General features: G+C 34.7%; 1 protein-coding gene across 5 annotated transcripts, besides 1 other annotated feature; it reads right to left on the bottom strand.

Annotated features, from left to right (window-relative positions):
* Positions 1-1,775: 1,775 nt before the first annotated feature.
* OTUD6B (OTU deubiquitinase 6B) lies at positions 1,776-18,525 on the bottom strand. Of its 5 annotated transcripts, NM_001286745.3 has the most exons (8): positions 18,403-18,525; positions 17,580-17,731; positions 14,958-15,038; positions 12,138-12,277; positions 10,201-10,513; positions 8,139-8,200; positions 4,755-4,861; positions 1,776-4,085 (listed from the first exon to the last, which is right to left on the bottom strand). In NM_001286745.3, exons 4-8 carry the CDS (start codon positions 12,147-12,149, stop codon positions 4,001-4,003), a joined length of 579 nt encoding a protein of 192 aa, NP_001273674.1. In that variant the 5' UTR covers positions 12,150-12,277; positions 14,958-15,038; positions 17,580-17,731; positions 18,403-18,525; the 3' UTR covers positions 1,776-4,000. The 5 variants fall into 5 exon arrangements, with proteins under 5 accessions (NP_001273674.1, NP_057107.4, XP_011515431.2 ...); NM_016023.5 differs by lacking the exon at positions 12,138-12,277; XM_011517129.3 differs by lacking the exon at positions 18,403-18,525 and having other exon boundaries at positions 14,958-15,034; positions 17,580-17,669.
* Positions 18,298-18,477: an enhancer, noted in NCBI's record as "active region_27614". NCBI's record gives its function as "activates an Ori minimal core promoter by ATAC-STARR-seq in GM12878 lymphoblastoid cells {active_cell/tissue: GM12878}" and the evidence as "EXISTENCE:reporter gene assay evidence [ECO:0000049][PMID:35858748]".

The following is an 18,676-nucleotide window of genomic DNA, read 5'->3' as shown; positions in this document are numbered from 1 at the left end:
GACAGTGGGGACTCCAAAAGGGTAGGGGAGGTTGATAAACTACCTATTGGGTACAATGTTCACTATTTAGGTGACAGATTCTATAAAAACACACATTCCAGCATTATAAAATATACCCATGTAACAAACCTGCACATGTACCCTTTAAATCTAAAATAGAAAATTAAGAAATAAAATGAAATGAAAAATTTTAAAAACTCATGTAATTTACTTTTTAAAGTGAGGTCATTATTTTTGTTCATCAACTCATGCACTGAAGTTATTGATCCCCATGTTAATCCTATATTTGGTTAAAATTATAAACAATAAATAAGACTTTTTGTCAATACAAGAGTGACAAACAAGAGCTAGATTATATATCATCCCTATTCACGGAAATAAAAATTCAGCAGCCTTATAGAAAGGCAGCAATTTGTTCCAGTATGTCATACTAGTCATCCTGATTATACTGAAATAAGACAACTATAAAACTTCTTCATGGTCAGTATATTAAAAAAGGTTTTAATTTTTTTCTAACTGTACACTTATTTTATAGGATTCTTATATTTGTGTAGATTTATTAAAATCAGACATTACCCTAATTGGTATATGAAGGTAAATTAGCTGAAACATTACTTTTGGAAGTTAAGAAAAATGAAAGCTCTGTTGGGTTCCCTTTCTCCCTTCAACTGACCAAAAGACTTGAAGAATTCATCCAAGGGCAAGGTAAATTAAAAAGCAGGCCTTTTGCGAGCAAGCACAATTCTAAATCATATCCATCTCTCTATTCCCAGCAGTCTGTTAACCTAATGCAACTTCTTACTCATATCCTATCCTCTCAACTGATAGTCTGTCAACAAACATTTTTTAAGCACGCAATGCAGACAGGCCAGGCAATGTGCTAAGTATTTTAAGAGCAGTGAACAAGAAATTCTTGTTTCTAAGCTCTTAACACAGTATGGAAAAAAATAGATGAAAAACAACTAAATTCAAGTAAGTGATTACAAGTGTGTACGTATTAGAAAGAAACAAGATTGGGAGGAGTCTGAGGAGGGTTGTCTCAGAAGGTACTATCAATATGTAAACTGAGACTAGAAAGACAAGGAAGCTGGATAAAGCAGGTTGGGTGAAACATTCAATTCTGAATGGTAGTTCCAAGACCTCAAGTGGGAGAGAACAATGGTGGGTTAAAAGACCCATGTGTTAAGAATTAAAACCTCATGAGCTCTAAGATAAAGACTTAAGACAGGAGGAAACAATCAATGTATGAGGTAACAGAACAGGCAGAGAAAAATTTCATCTGTTCGATAAAAGTTTAAAAAAAAAAAGCATGAAATCACCAAATAAATTCTCAGAAGATCAACTGATCTAGTCCTTCAGCTACTTCATAAGAACCTGTACCAAGAAGGCACTATATTAACAATTGTGTGAAAACATTAATTTGTACAAACTTCCTTCTTACTGCTCCACATTCTTGCACACAAATGTTTATTCTTTATTTTAACATCTATGGGTCTTAAAATATTTTTCAAATTCACTTACCCTAAATAAACATTCATTATTCTAAAAGGTTCTAAGATTGTACCTGATTTCTAAGAGCTATAGCTTAAATGGCTATTACTTTATTTCCCTCTACTTCTGGGGCATAAGCTATGCTCATATATTTATTCAAAATCCCTTAAAATGTAAGAATCTGTGTGTGAAGACAAAGTAAAGGCTGGATACAAAGCAAAAGGAGTTTTCTCCACTTCTAAATTCTTGAATTGTTAAAGAATGACAATTCAAGCAAATAAATGTTGATTTAATTCATTCATTTTTTATTCTTTTTTTGGCAAACATCACATAATATAAGCAAAACTATGCGTTCACTATAGTTACACACATTCTTTTTTGCTTTATACAAGTTGTAAACAAATTTAAGTGAATAAAATTCTTGGCTAAAGACATATTCCAGAACTCTGACATATACTTTTCAGAGTTAGGACAAAAGAAAGCATATGTAACTTCCATTAGACCATCATCATATGAAAAAGTAAATTAGCATATGCTGCTTTTAAATTAACATCTGTCATTTTATTTAAACACTTTTTTAGGTTATAGCTAAAATGATATTTATCTGAAGTTTTAGGAAAGAACAGAAGCTGACCATACAAATCTTGTTCATAACCACATTGGCCACTTAAATTAAAAATATAACAAAATTGAAAAATAGACATATAACCAAAAAGATTCTAAATCTTGTAAGGAAAAAAAGAATAAAGCTGCCAATAAGTTATTTTAAAATACTTTAGATGTAGATAACATTTATAATACTGGGTTTCATAATATCTTGTTTTATGGCTTCCTAATGTTGACATTTTAAAGTAACAGATTACTTCAAAATAAACCCAAAGCATTTAGTGTTTTACAATTTCAATTTCATTCTTTTGTAAATTTCAGACACCAAAAAATTCACATCAAGGGTTACAAAACAGGCATCTTCAGAATATAATTTGTTTGGCAGGCAGAATGGCTTGTAATCTTTTGAACTGGAAAGCCTTCAGGAAGTACTTACTTGCTATCAATGACCCTGCCAGCTTCCCACATTGTTACCTGCTGGGCGTGTGAAAAGACTGACACCCCATTTTTCATATAAACCCAATATTTACTTATAAAAATTAGTTGTACTCATGGAGCAAAAATTCAAATGTTATAAACGATACTAAATCTTACTAGTTTTATCTCTAGTTTGGGAAACACACATCAAACTAAAAAAGTCTCATTTTCATAATATTTCCTTACATAAATTATGAGAGACATTTGTATATATCCTCTTAGAAAGAATACTGTTGTGAGTAACCTGAAATCTGAGCTAGAACAACCATTCATATACAAAACTACTCTATACAAGTCTTAGCTTCCAAACAGTAGCTTTCAACTTCATTCATATATGTAACATAAAATTTCTCAAATATTTGAGTTGAAGGAAAGGTGACATTAATAAGGCTAATAAAATAAGTGGCAAAGGTTTTATTCAAATCCTAGAGAATGAGGCAAGAAGGGAAATATCTGGTAAGACAAATCAGAAAAGAGGAAGAATTTCAAGTAAATGTGGTCTTGGACCTTTTACACTGCTACTCCCTAAAATTGCACAAGGTAAAGGCCACAAAATGCTTGTTCCTTCAAGGAAAGCAAAGTAGAAAACACAAAAGGAAATATAAAAATGTGTAGTTATGAAAGACTCAAGAGATGATGGTACTAACTCCAGTCCGATGCTTAAAAAATACGAAAGAATAACAAATGCATTAAAAAGACAGTAACCTATTAGGTCTTTTTTAAATTATACACAAATAAAAAACTAATCTCTAATTCTTTAGAGATTTAAATTTGACAGAGAATACCTATTTACCTTTGAATTTATCTCACTTCTTTAAACAACTGAATCCCATCTAAATAAATATTTTTAAATTATTAATTATTAAAGCAAGCTTCTTAGCTTGCTTTGATAAGGCTATATATATTAGTAATAAAGCTTCACTGCATTAGTCTCATCGATACCATGGTTACTGCAATCAAGTTCATTTTATAAGCAATAATTAAATTGACCATCACCATACTACATTATTGCAATGACAAAGATATTGGGTAAACTTCTTCAAGACAAATTACATTGAAATGGTTATTTTGAAAGTTTTTAGGAACAGGCAGAAAAGGGAGAATTAAAAACATTGAAAATTTGTTCCAACACAAAACAGAATGTCCAGGATCTTACATAAATGAAAATATCAGCTAATAGGGGACCATCTTGGTCTATGAATGGTGTTCTCTACAATGAACTTAACAAATTTTTAAAATTCCACTAAGAAGACACTGGTTAAAGTTTATCTCTGACATATTTCTAAAAACACCTGTTAGTAGCTTTGCCATAAAACTGATATAAGGTAGTTGTGTTTTTCAGTAGCATTTAGAACAACCCAACACTTGGTAGAAATACTCAGTTCAGCACACTGTATTAAAACATAATTGTACAACATTGTATAAATTAGCTGCAATTTTCAGTAACTATGTTTACCAACCGTGTAACCGAATTATAATGTTCTCCTAAGCCATATGCATGTCTCATATATCTGAAATTAAAAAAAAAAAGAAATGAGTAGTTTTGATGAAAGCAATTTTTCTATATATATATGCTTATTATATATATATATAAACCAATGATTCTGAATGACTCAGTCCACATGGGTTTCACTCAATAGACTATGTGGACATATTAATTAAGAGTTCAACACCATTTGAAAAGTGGCAGCAGTCAGCAAGATCTGGTTCAATCACTGGGGTAAAACGAAAAGGCTGAGATGCTGAAGGTTCAATCAGCTTAAATTGTCATCTAGCCATTGATGACTATCTTAATAGGTTTAGCTAAAAAATACTAAAGCCAATAGCAAACCCTGCATGCTGTATTTCAGAAGAGATTTCTAAATCATGTAAGATATTTTCATAAAATGAAGAAAAATAAATCTAAGGAATAAACAGGCAACATGAATGTATTTCAACTTTTAACACTTGTTGAAACTTTTAGCATTACTAATGTCAAACCAGGACAGTATACAAACTAGTCCTAAAATGTTATAACCTTTAGAAATGACTTTATTCTAAACTCACACACAAAAATAAATCGCTAGAGGTTTAAAAAATTATCTAAGTCACATATTTTAACACATATAATCTAAATTTTTTAATATTCCTTTTTGTATTAATTGTGAAAAATAAAACAGTAAAAATGTCTAGGTACTTACACAAGTATTAGTGGTTTTTTTGAATATTCTTCACCAACTATAATGGGAGGAGAATCTGCCTGTATTATCTCTATTGGTGTTTGTAAAATGTGAGACAGAGCTCTTAGCTATAGGAAGAAAAAAAGTATCAGTAAGGAAAATAAAAATGTAAATCACATTCAAATATGTGTGAACGGGCAACCAGTCAGAGCAGGGATACGCTGTGTTCACCACTGTACACAGAGAGCCTGGTATATACTGGGCACTTAATAAATATCTGTTGAATAAATAAATATAATACAGGTTGAATATCCCTTATCCTAAATGCCTGGAACCAGAATTGTTTTAGTTTTTGAATTTTTCAGATTTGGGAGTATTTGCATATACTACATGAGATATCTTGAGGATGGGACTCAAATCTAAACACAAAATTCATTCATGTTTCATACATATCTTACACACACACCATGAAGGTAATTTTATACATTTTAAATAACTTTGTGCATGAAACTAAGTTTGAACTGTGACCTGTCACATAAAGTCAAGTGTAGAATTTTCCACTTGTGATGTCAGCCCTCAAAAAATTTGATTTGGGAGCATTTCGAATTTCAAATTTTCAGATTAGGGATGCTCAACTTGTATTTATTAAATCAAATGCAGAGACTGCTCAAGCCCTGCCTGCACAAAAGCTTTGTAAAAAATATCAATGCCACAGTTAATGAAGAGGGGCAATGGGTAGACTAGGTATATTATACTAGTCTACTTTTGAATACGCTTGAAAATGTTCATAACAAAAAAAATTTTTAAATACCATTGCTCAAGCACCGGACCAAATAAATTACAATGTGAGAAAATGGGCAGGGGGAAGAACAAAATATTTATTTTTTTAAAGTTTTTCAGATGATTCTAATCTACAAATACTGTTGACAACCACTGTTCTATAATTTTCAAAGAGTAGAATATGTATATGAATTGTACTGCCCTATCAATGAATTTCTATTTGATTAAAATATACAATTTTAAGTAATTTCATACCATACAATATAAAATTAGAGCCTAAAGCCAGATGAATAATGGTGAATATTGAACATTAATGCTAACATTTTTAAAGACTTATTATGATTACGGGCCAGGCACAGTGGCTCACACCCATAATTCCAGCACTTTGGGAGGCCAAGGTAGGCAGATACCTTGAGTCCAGGCATTCGAGACCAGACTGGGCAACATGGTAAAACCATGTCTCTACAAAAAAATACAAAAATTAACCAGGCATGATGGATCACTTGAGCCCGGGAGGCAGAGGTTGCAGTGAGCCAAGATCACGCCACTGTACTCCAACTGGGGTGACAGAGTGAGACCCTGTTTCAAAAAAAAAAAAAAAAAAAAAAAAGACATATGACCAAACACTCAAGCATTTTAAGTACTTTATGTGTATTAATTCCTTTAATCCTCTCAATAACTTTATGGGATGGGTACTGTCGTTATTTTAAAGACCTAGAATCTGAGGCAAAAAAAGGGTTACAAGACTTGTCAAAGTCACTTGAACTCAGGCGTTCGAGACCAGCCTGGGCAACACAGGGAGACCCCGTTTCTACAAAAAATACAAAAATTAGCCAGGCATGGTGGTGCAGCTACTCAGGAGTGGGAGGAAAGCTTAAGCCTAGAAGATTGAGACTGTAGTGAACAATGATGGGTGGCACCACTGCACTCCAGCCTGGGTGACAGAGTGAGACTCTGTCTCAAAAAGAAAGTAAAAATCATAATGCCCCGATCTATGGGGGCACTATGGGATATGTACTTGCCCCATTACAAGAACATTCCATTGATGAACATACTCCTTCCTGAGGTTTTGAAAGAATTTAAGAAATTACTTCAAAAATATGGAAAGCACTCTGCTGCATGGTGGTAAATCAAAAACGTTCCTTTGAGGTACATTTTTCTTATACCTAAAATATCATTTTTAAGAAACTAGCATAGAATAGAGGATGCGAACCAAACTCTGGGAATCCTACTATGCCTTCTAACTTCAGAGATCATAGAATGATTTTCTTTAATAACTTAAATTTACTCTATTGTGAAAACTGCAACTCTTACTTCAAATGAATTCACAGATGAAAAAAATGTATAAGTGTCCCTCAAAAGATGTTTTAAAAGGTTTTTCTTAATTTCTTGATTTAATCTCTAATACTCATATGAATGATCCTTTTAAGAAAGTTCAAGCATTTTTAATTATTCCTAATGTAGTAGTAACAAAGCTACTATGAACATTTCCTGAGTTTCCGAGGCATACAAAACTAATGGATACAGTTCCCTCTGGTGGAAATGCACATACACAGCAGTACTAAGAAAAAGATTTTGGGGCAACATTCATGTTGCATCTTCAAATGAAGCAGTTCTTAAAGTGAATTATTTAGAGCCACAGACTATTCATGATGATTAATCATCATTATATATTACTAATCGTACTGCCTAGGTTCATCCATCTGGCACTTCAGCTTACAAACTTTTATGCAGGTACTCTCTGCCTTACTTAATGCTCAAAAATGCTCAACTGAATACACAGAGAGGGTTTATTATGGCCATATAGTAATCAAGAAACTCAAGCTTGGGAGGATGGCTGACTCCCCTGTGGCCACAAAACAGAGGGGTGGAAGAAAATGCCAGGACCTGAACCCAGAACTTTCTTTCTTATCCTATTTAATACCCAGGCTGCTTCATCACCATCTGGCCTACCTACCTGTTTTTTTTGTTTGTTTGTTTGTTTTTAACAAAACAAAGTTAACAGTAAGATTTTTTTAAAATTAGAGCTAAAAAGTAATCTTGATAACTTCCTGTAAGTGACTGAACATACTGTTTTCTTACATATGAATTTAATGCACCAACTACTGCTTTCAAGTAAGTCAGTCACTATCAATTAGGAATTCAAAATACGATTTTAATATATATGTTGTGGTAGGATTTGGCCTATAATTTCACATAATTTTTTTTTTCCATTTCTGATGTAAAAAAGATATTTTTCCAATAGTGACTTTGATCAGCTGAGCTACTAGGCTAAATTTTACTTTACTTCAGTAAAATTTTCATTTTCCTAAGTCCAGAAAATCAAATGTATTGCCAATACTACTATCACGATGAAAAGACTTACACATATGTATTTCTAACACACAGATCTAACACTGAGCTATTTAAAATGTAATAGTGTTTCAATCCCTCAACATACATACTTTAATCACAGACCTAATCATGTTAACTCCCTATTTCTTTGTCAGTTGAGAAGAGCAAATATATAAAGAAAAGGAATCTTCAAAGAGAAATTGGGATCAGCTGAGAAACATCTAAAAACTACAGAAGGGATTTAGAAATAATTTAACAACCCACAATCACTATGAATAACTACAAACTTACCTCAAGCTGACCTCCCCATGCAGCTGTGTTTACAATATCTTCACAGTACTTCTGAAATTCTTCTGTAGAGATTAGGTCAGAATACAGCACTTAATAATTTTTGTAACTCATGTTACAAAATCCCTTTTATAGTTCCCACAATTCCTGACAAAAATGCCCAAGTTATGAACATTCTCCTTCTCTACCATTATCCTCCAGAATCTAATCTAACTCCCAGGTCCAAACTTAATTCACCCCAACTTTCTACCACATTTCCATCCAAGAACAAAGCAGTCCATTTCTGCTTTTCTTCTTCTGTTGGAGGCCCAGATACCCTCCCTATATAACAAACCTACCTCACTCTACCCCAAGCGTTGACCCCAAAAATTGCCACCATATTCACTATCTTGACATGTGTTTTGAAGCCCAAACCTGCATCCAAAGGAATACCATGAAAGACAAAAAAAATGTAGTTCCTGTATAATCAGGTTTACTGTAAGACTCTGGGAAATATACGAAGAGAATTCGAGTAAAAGTACAGATGAATTGAAATTCCTTCCCCAGAGATAGCGTCAAACAGTGCCTCCACTTGTTATTTTGGAAGCACTTACATTACTTGCATAAGTATCAGTTCTAACCAAGGAAAAGGCTTTTCACATCAGCCCTGAGAAATAAAAGACCTAATCACTAAATTTACAATGGGTATATTTTGTGCATACACCTTTTTACACAGTATGTTAAAATGGAAAACAATTATCCTTACTACAGAGATGGAAGGAAAGAAATTATGGACATCTAGAAGAAAAATATGTCTCATGTGTTTGTCTCATACCCTGTTAAATCCTCAGCGTTCAGAACAGTGCCTAGAGTAGTGCTTGGCACACAGCGGCCTTCAATTAATATTGGTTGAATAAATGGAGATAATTAATTAAGTCTTTTGTGTTTTTCTCTGACTCAGCATACTGAACTGCCACCTCCTCTATGCCCTACAACTAGCGCAATTGGGGAGTTTCAATGATTCAGTAATCATTTGGGAGATAAATGACAGAAGAGTCATTTATCACATTGCCTATGCATATATCAAAATATATGGAAAAATGTGTTTTATGTCCCATAGCAAATTCTGTTTATGTAGAAAACAGCAATGACCTAAAACAGCAAGAGATAAGTTAACATTTCCAATATGACATCTATGGGAAATTAATTCACTACAGAATTAGATTATGCTTAAGTCATTCTTGAAATCTATCAACAGATACCTTAAGCCATGCACACTAAAGGAGACACACTTGACTGCCAATGCTCATTCTTATCAATTCTGCATCACTCTCTACCTTTCCTCCATGGAGGACAGACTCCACTAAAGGAAAGTCAATTTTAACCTTTCTCTCTGCAACCCATTCTGGCCATATGACTTGTGGGAACAATGGATACTGCCAAACCTGCCATATTCTCTCAAGGACTAATAGTCCTCTATTCCATTCATTACTACCCCAAAACCTATTCAGATTTTTACTTGCTCTCTTCCTCATCTGCTAGTTGTGTACTTTTTTACTTCCTCATAAATATTTTATCTTAACTGTGATAGTATTGTATAGAATAAAGCAGGTTATTAACCCATTTGTTTTACTTGAACACTAATCTTCCTAATTATAGCTTATTGTAAATAAAAGTAAAGTTCCCAAATTATAAGATAAAAGCAGGAAATGGTTTTCCTAGTCATTCTCTCCTTATGGTCTTCAGACCCTATATATACTTCCTGAAGCTTACCTTCCTCAATACTTCACTTTGTCAAATAAGAACTTACATTTTTTTCAAAAATGACTCTTATTCCTACTTCTATCTTACATAAAATGATTAGCATATTATAATTACAAAATAACTAAGTAATTAAGAAATCTTAATAGAGAAAAATACACCAACATCTATTAAAATTACAGAAAATAATTCTGCCTAAATCTTGTGATGTTTTTTCCTCATAAGGATCATCTGGGTTCTTCTTACGCTCAGTGCTGGGAAGCACCTTATTTAAAAACAACTACAACAAAGCAACAATAAAACATAGTAAAGAAAAATAAATTACCTGGAGTATACATATCTCCTGTATTAGGGTTTGTTAAAAATGGCAGAAAGTCTTCCACATGGCTTTGCATATACTCAGCGGTCTGACTTCTCAAGGCAACCACAGTCAGAGCACAATCCTTTTCTTTCAGTTGATCTTCAATGGCTTTATACATACAGTGGCCATCAGATGGAATCTGTTTAATTTCTAACTGTCTAGCTGCCAATATTTGAGCAAGTTTCTCACTTTCCATATGTCTGGCTCCTGTTAAGTTTTCAATTTCAGCTTCAGCTATCCGTTCTTCTCGCTCCTTTTCCAATGCAGCTTTCTTTTCCTAAGAAAAGCAGAATGCATGAAAGTTAATTCATAATAATTTGGACTAATTCTCATTTATTAAGGGAAGGGAAATGTAAAGGTCTCAAAACTTTCCGGTGTTTATTCTCCCTTCTCGCACAAACACTATCACATTGATCATCTCAAGAATTTTCTACAAGGTGAGCTCCTTACTCTCTTACTCATCTGTGTGTTTCCAGCACCTTGCTCTATACTGGACATTAAGAAAGCCCTCTAATTTTTCTTTAAAGTCTACTTAAAGGCTACATGCCAAGTTTCTAAAAACCTTACTTACTGATTTCAAAGTATTCTCTTAAGACTGAGTTATCCTAGGCCTTAAAGCACATTATTATTATATTAAAGCCCAGGCTAATCCAGGCTTCTTATCAGTCCACCAGTAACGTGTTAATATGACACAGCCTTTAAAAGGGTACAGGCAGACACCCTTTTTATCAAGCTTTTTAAAATGTCTGTATACACATACATTTAATTAACAAATATTTTGTAAAAAAAAAATTAAAATATAAGAGAGAGACTCAAGCTCCCCATAACACCACTGCCATCCCAGTGCTTGCTCTAGAGGTTTGGTATGCATCCTTCTAGATTGTTTTTCCATTCATTTTAATAAATATGGTATACTCTTGAAAATATGTATAAATTCTTAATAAAAATGGTATCATATGTTACATTCTACAATTTGCTTTCCTTATGCAAATGTCTGATAAGCTCCTCCCATGGAAACATATGCAAGGATGGAGTGGGGTGACGGAAATGAGAGATTTGTGACATGAAGAATAGACAGGAGGTGTATAGGGAAGGTTGGGGAAGAAGAAAGGAAAAAAAATTCCTAACAGATGGACTAGTAATGATCAAAAGCCAGAAAGCACTATATGTTTCATAGCTAAAAACAGTTCCTAGAGCTACAGTGCCAGAGAAAACTGTCAAGAGATGAAATTGGAGGCAAAAAGCATAGGCATATAATTAATATACAGTAGGTCTATACTTAACATAGGACTAAAAAGAAACTACAATATACACAAAGTATTTATAGTGCTTTTTTCTGGATGACGGGATTCCAAAATAAGTTTTATTTTGGGGTGTGTGTATGTGTATGTGTGTGTATGTCTGTATGTTTTTCTGCATCTTTCTAATTCTCTATCATATATTTTGTTTGTACACTCAAGCGGAAACTGCTTTATAATTTAAGAATAAAAACTAAGTTATATAAATTTTGACATTAATAAGTTACAGTGAAGGATTTGGTAAGCCAAGAATAGGAAAAGGTAAAGACTTCCATAACACTAGCTCTGATTTCTCCTTGGAACAAAAGTGAATGGGAAGGCAAGTTTCAATTAAACTTATTGTCATGTACCTGTACTACTTGCCTGTTATGTGCCATGCTAGATGAACCTAAAGTGATTTCTAAGTTACCTGAATCAAAAGCAGTAATATCTCCCTAATAAAACATAGCCTATTTAAGGTTTGTATAAGTAATAGGAACAAATTTATTTCACTGTGTACCTAGAACTGTGGATCACAGAGGCATAATATCTTAAAACACAAGATGGCACTATTACTTTATAAAAGACTAAAAAAGTTTCAGAGGGGAAAGGAAGAATAAGCACCTTAGATATCATCTAATCCAAAACCCCTCATTTTCCTCTTCTGAGGAAACAGCACGCAGAAAGATTTCCAAAGGCCATACAGCTGGTAAGAGCAGAGCAGGGACCAAGGACAACACAGAGAGCTCCTTCTATCCAGGCACCTGAATCAGAATAAAAGTTGGAGCAGATGGGAGCTGGAGTTAATGATGTCATGTACTATTTACTGAAAGAGTGGCACTTTATCTTATCTGCAAAACTGTTTAAGCCTCTAAAATACTAATTCTAATCATTTCATTTTTTTCCCTTCATGCTTTGCTTCATTAGAACAAAGCAATTGAGTTTCCTTTTCAGGGCACTAGGTAAGAAATCCACTGAATTCTTTTTCCAGCAATATATAGTTTCCCAAGAGCACTAGGCACTTTGGTTTCTACAGCTATAGTAGTGGAGATAGAATGGCACTAATAAGTTCTAATAAAAACGTATAAAAGATGAAAATAGCATGTAAATCATAAATATATTGTCAATAAAACTACAGTCATGTTGATATAGTAATATAACAAAGAAGATTCAAAGGGAATATTAAGAGCTGGACACCAGTCCTGGGTTTGTATCAAACTTTTAGTGTACAATTGAGATAACTTGGGTCTCTGCTTTCTCATTGGAAAATACAGAAATTGAATTCAATCTCATTCCAGCCCTCAAATTCCATATTTTTGAAACCCAGCTCTTCTAAGTTCTATTTTAGACTCTTTCTCTCATATCAAAAAGTTTGTAAGTTCTTTGAATAAAATACTGTTTTTCTAGACTAAAAATAAGAGATATGCTCTACAATATTCCACGATATTCTTAAAATAAATCTTGACAAAGTTTTATCACGTTTTTCTTCCAGAGTTGTATCCTTCCCAAAGATAAACATCATTAATTAAATGACTTTGCATTCCTTGGTGCTTCTAGCAAAAAGGAGGTTCCAAATAATCTAACACCCGATTGTGCATCCTGACTTCAGGTTCCATTTTCTTAAGCATTATAAACGTTTAATGTTTTCTGTTCTAAAATCCCATTAATATAACCCTGTAAAAACATTACTTGGGCATTTTTTCTACCAAGTGTTAAAGCAGCTGACTATAAAAGATACTAAATGGTTTGAGAGTATAACTGACAAAAGTATTAATTCCAGTTGTGCAGTATCTTAGGGAAAAAGTAACAAAATTTTTGAGAAAGGTAAGGGAGTTTTCGTTTTGTTTGTTTTGTTGTTAGAGGTCCAGCTGGGGAGGAACAAGTTTTGATAAAGATAGGAAGAACTTGTGCCCTTAGGTTTTCCAGAATTAAATAGGCTATTATAAGATGTTTCAATTACTAAGTAGACGTAATTCCAATGTTTTGTTATGCTACTGGCATGCAAAAATTCTGCCCTTCCTTTTTGATCTATAGAAGCTAGACAATTGTGAGATCATCACAAAAGAATGCATATCCTAAGCAGACAATCTCCAAGATTCCATGAGATCTAAATTTTATGAATCTACAAAATTCACAATTATATTTACTCAAAAATAAAATTCTACACAAGAATGAGAAATGTTGGACTATGTGCATTTCATCAGCTTGCAAACAAAAAAAGACATTGCTTTTAGGTTTAATTTTTTAAGAGGCATAGTATGCACTACTTAACACAGAAAAAGACATTGCTTTTAGGTTACATTTTTAAGAGGCATACTATACACTACTTAATATAGAAACAATACTATCATTTGTTGACCCATTAGTTCTCCAGGCCTTGTGTTAAAGGCTTTGGAAATAGTACAGTATTTAATATTCACAATGAATTAGCTTATGAAGTAGCTATAATTTGCCCCCGTTTTATAGATGTGAAACTGAGGCTTAAAGAAGAACCGTACCCAAAGTATAACAGTAAATGAAATTAAAACCTCATCTGTTTGACACTAAACTCCATGCTCTACTAAATTACATACTATGTCATAAGATGCAAAATGAATTTAAAAATATGCATTTAAACCATAGAAAACATCAAGTGTTAATAAAATAATACTCGCAACTAAAAAGACTGAATTTAATCATTTTTCTTTTTCAAATTCAAAGGGACTTACCTATCTAATCTCATTTCCATAATGCTGATATGAACTAGCTACTTCCAATAAATCAGTTTCCTTATAGCTCTTCAATAATGCAATATATCACCCCCACATTTGTTTTTGTGCATGCTGCTCCTCCTATTTGGAATATCCTATCTAAATAATATTTCTTTCAAATTCCAACCCATTATTAGCATAATGAACTTTCCCTTCTCTAAATTTTCATAATTAACCATTATATAGATACCTACATAATTCTCTAAGAATTTTGTATACCTACACATGTTAACTTCTAGGTTCAAATCCTTATTTCTCACCCAATGGTATAGTTCTTGGCTAGGGTTGTGCATCAGAATCCCCTGGGCCCACATTCTGAATTTTTAAGTCTGGGATAATATATTTGTAAAAAAAACTACTTTGCACTCCCACTCCCAGCTTCGCTCTCCTATGAGAGCTGCAACCTGAATACGTTATTTTATATTATCTTAGGATCATTTTCTTCTCCATAAAATGGGGATAAGAAATCCTACTTCACAGGATTATTGTCAGGACTAAATGAGATGTCATATAAGCAGCTTAGCATAGTATGTGACACACAGCAGGTGCTTAATAAATGTTAGTTCAAGTGCCTAGACAAGGAACTGCATCATTTTTTTTTCATTCTCTTCCTATAACAAGACCTAAGATAGTACCTAAGATAGTATTGAACACACAGCACTAACTTATATACTTGGTGACATGACTTTCATACCCGTCTCTTTTGTGCTTTTGATATCCGAGGTGGCTGATTCTCAAGCACCAAGTTTGAAATGTTAACAGCAACAGAATCTATCTGAAGGAAACAAAAAGCATTAACAAGTCAATGTACTTATTAAATTACTGAAAATCATAAATATATCTAATCCCACATTTCAAATTTGAGTAACAGCAATAGACACTGTATTAGATAATATGGTTTTGTCTCCTGTTTCTATTTTTATGGAAGAATTTGACAAGTTCCCAAGAAGTTTCTTTCAAAGATCATGCTCATCCCTGCATGCTTTCCTTCCTTCTTAGAATGCCTACTCCATTAATCTAAATGCAGTACTGTACTTCCTGTAAGCGCCAACTCATTTAGCACTCCACTCTTCTTTTCTCTGACTACTGCCAGTACATATAAGATAAAGGTCCTGTGCTGGCTCAGTTCATTATTACCTGCATAACCTCTACTGGCAGCAGAGGCCTTTTTCCATCTTAATTAGCCAGAACCTGATGAGTACTAATCCTTGACCCTAGTAGCAAGTTGAGCTTTTCCTACCCTACCCTTTTCCATCTACAAACTGATAACTGCAGGCAGAAAATATATTTAATTTGTAATATCATTTGATATTATAATCAATCCTAAATGGCTAGTGTGTGTTTGCTAGAGTAAAAAAAAAGATGCTAGACTTTTAACTATAAGGATGAGTAGCCATTATTACTGCAACTCTAAGGTAAGCCAGTTTTTAGTATAACACATGCATAGAACAACTCAAGGCCTTTAATACACAGAGACAGAAGTCTGCAAAGGCTGTGTCCCAAATGATCAAAATATCAAAATCAGATAGAGACTTCAAAGAGTGGCTATCAACTATAGTGAAATTAGGAGTCCTGTGATTCTTCAGAGGAAGCTGTTAAAATTTACAAACATCTATATTGACAATAGGCAAGATAAAAGAGATGCATCTGAAAAACAAAAAAGCAATGGCATTAGTTTTTGGTAGTATTCAGAAAAGAAAACCAATTTAAATTAATGAAACAGATAAATAGTTCAAACTAAAATGGGAGTTTGTGTTTTAACAGTAGGACTCCATGTAGCTTATGAATCAAACATTTTTGTCCTTGGAAACCTGGGAAAGAAACCTCAAAATGGAAAGGTCTGAGGGAGCAAACAAAACTATCTCATTAATAGAAAAGATGGGGAGACAATTAGGAACACAATTGTCACAACACAATTTAACGCCTGGAGTATCATATATGCCTTGTTACCTGGAGATGAAGTACATTAAAGGCAAGGAAAGTTGGGAACTTGATAACTAACAAAGTTAAAGAAATTTAGACTATATTTAATGTAAGGACCATTATAAAAAGCACAGACAAGCTGTACTTGTCAACAGCAAACCAAAAATCAACCAAAATTTAAGTATGGCAGATTAAGATTTTACATAGACATAAGAACTTTCTATCAAAGATGGAGTGAGGTTGTGGGGTCTATATGACCCTTCATATCCAAAACCCATACAATAAATACCACACTATACAAAGCTGTAACAGAATTCAGTATTCACTTCCTGGAGTAAGATAGTTCTCATTTGGAATTCTGGCTTTGGCAATCAACAGCTGTTACGACTCCTGGACAAAGTTCTTAATCTCTCTAACCCTGTTTCCCACTTGAAAAATGGGATTATGTATACTTACTTCATAGGTAATACCTCACAGTGTGTTACTGAGGTTAAATGAGATAATACATATAAACCAAAGTATTTGACACATATATATTAGATCCAACGATAAAATAAATATTAGTTAAAATTATGAAAGTTAGGATGCTCCAACTTACCCAAGAAACATCAGTAAAATTTCATTCATTACAACTTGTTAATAAAGCACTTTTATAACAAAAATGACTTCACGTTCACTTTCTTGATTCTTACAAAAACCTGTGCTTAGAGTGTAGAAATATTTGTATCGTATTATATATGTGGGAAAATTTGAGCTCAGAAAGATTAAGTAACCTTGCTCAGGTTACAATCCCATTCAGTCGCAATTCTGGGATCAGATGCCTGGTCTTCCAACTTTGATTTGGTGAAGCTTCATCTTTTGGGCAAGTAAATAGGTAAAGAAGTATAGCACTTTCTTTGCCGATCTCCCTTATAGAAACACACTGCCCTGTAAACTTGGTCACAAAAACATTAATGAGAAGTGATGCATGAGCATAACTAAGTGATTTCATTTCCCTACCAATTTTATGATTTTAGATAATAAACAGTTTAACAGGGCCGGGCACGGTGGCTCACGCCTGTAATCCCAGCACTTTGGGAGGCCGAGGCGGGTGGATCACAAGGTCAGGAGATCGACACCGTCTTGGCTAACATGGTGAAACCCTGTCTCTACTAAAAATACAAAAAATTAGCCGGGCGTAGTGGCGGGCGCCCGTAGTACCAGCTACTCGGGAGGCTGAGGCAGGAGAATGGCCTGAACCCGGGAGGCGGAGCTTGCAGTGAGCCAAGATTGAGCGTGTTTTGCAAAGCGAGACACCGTCTCAAAAAAAAAAAAAAAAGCAGTTTAACATTTAACAGAAGTGGACAGCTGTTTTCAAATGGTGTAGGCAACGACAAACATTTATTTCACATACCTTATTCTCCTTAGTAGTCAGCTTCAATTGCTCCAGTTCCTCTCTATGTTTCTGTTCCATTTCTTTTTCCAACTTGGCCACATCTTCGGTGAGTTGCTTCCTCCTCTTCTTGTCATTCTTGGGAACAGCATTCTTCATGCCCTGAATTTTGGCTGAAAAGCCATTAAAATCATTAAGTCAGACACGCAGGAGTAAAAGGAGATGAGAAACAGGAACCAATAAGGGGATGGTAACGGGCGAAGGGTACAGAAAAAGTAATTATGGAAGAAAGAGTCATCACGTAACAGGCAGCTACAGAGAGAGAAGATCCCAGATAAAGCTGAGACCAAAAAAAAAAAAAACTTCATTAACAAAATCTTGAATATGTTTCGGTTGTTTGGCGAGATAAGAGAAGGAAAAAAACCTGACTGTAGCCAGTTTTAAATCTTTCCGGTATCCTTTCTGAACCTCCTAAACTGAGGCGGGTCCATTCAAAATACACCCATTAGGGACAAGTATCGGTAACTGGGGCAGGTATAGAAAAGGGAGGCATCGTGGGTTTGGGAGCGGACCAAGACGGCGGCTTCTAGGTATTTTCAGACACCTGCACCCCGGCGGCGGCGCGGGGTAGGGGGCACGCCGCAGGCCTCAGAAGGGGAAGCCTCTGAAGGTTGGGGAATTAAAGGGCCGCCGGGGTAGGTGAAGAGAGAAGAGGCCACTTGCTACTAGGGGAAGTCTAGGGTGATCCAGATAAGTCACGCCTTGAGATTCCCCAGAATCGACCCGCCACGCGCCCTTCCCCCAGTCGCGGCGGCTTCCAGATTCCCACTTCCTTCCGCCTCACCTTGCAACTCCTTCTTCTCTTTGCGATGCCTTCTCAGCAGCTGCTCTTCCTCATCAAGCTCTTCGGTCAATACCGCCTCCATGACGACCAGGTACCCCAGCACACGCGCTAGAAGAAACCTGCACCGGCTAGTAGGCACCTTCCACCCCTCAACCCTCACCCGGGGCTCCATTGGCTACGGCTGGGACCCAGCCCCGCCTTCAAGGCGGCACCGGATCTAAGCAAAGCCACTGCAAAGACGAGAAACTTAAATGGGGTGCTGCGCGTGCGCGCT

This window comes from Homo sapiens, chromosome 8 (assembly GCF_000001405.40).
Source record: "Homo sapiens chromosome 8, GRCh38.p14 Primary Assembly".
Taxonomy (NCBI): Eukaryota; Metazoa; Chordata; class Mammalia; order Primates; family Hominidae; genus Homo; species Homo sapiens.
This window is presented reverse-complemented; position numbering and strand designations above follow the sequence as displayed.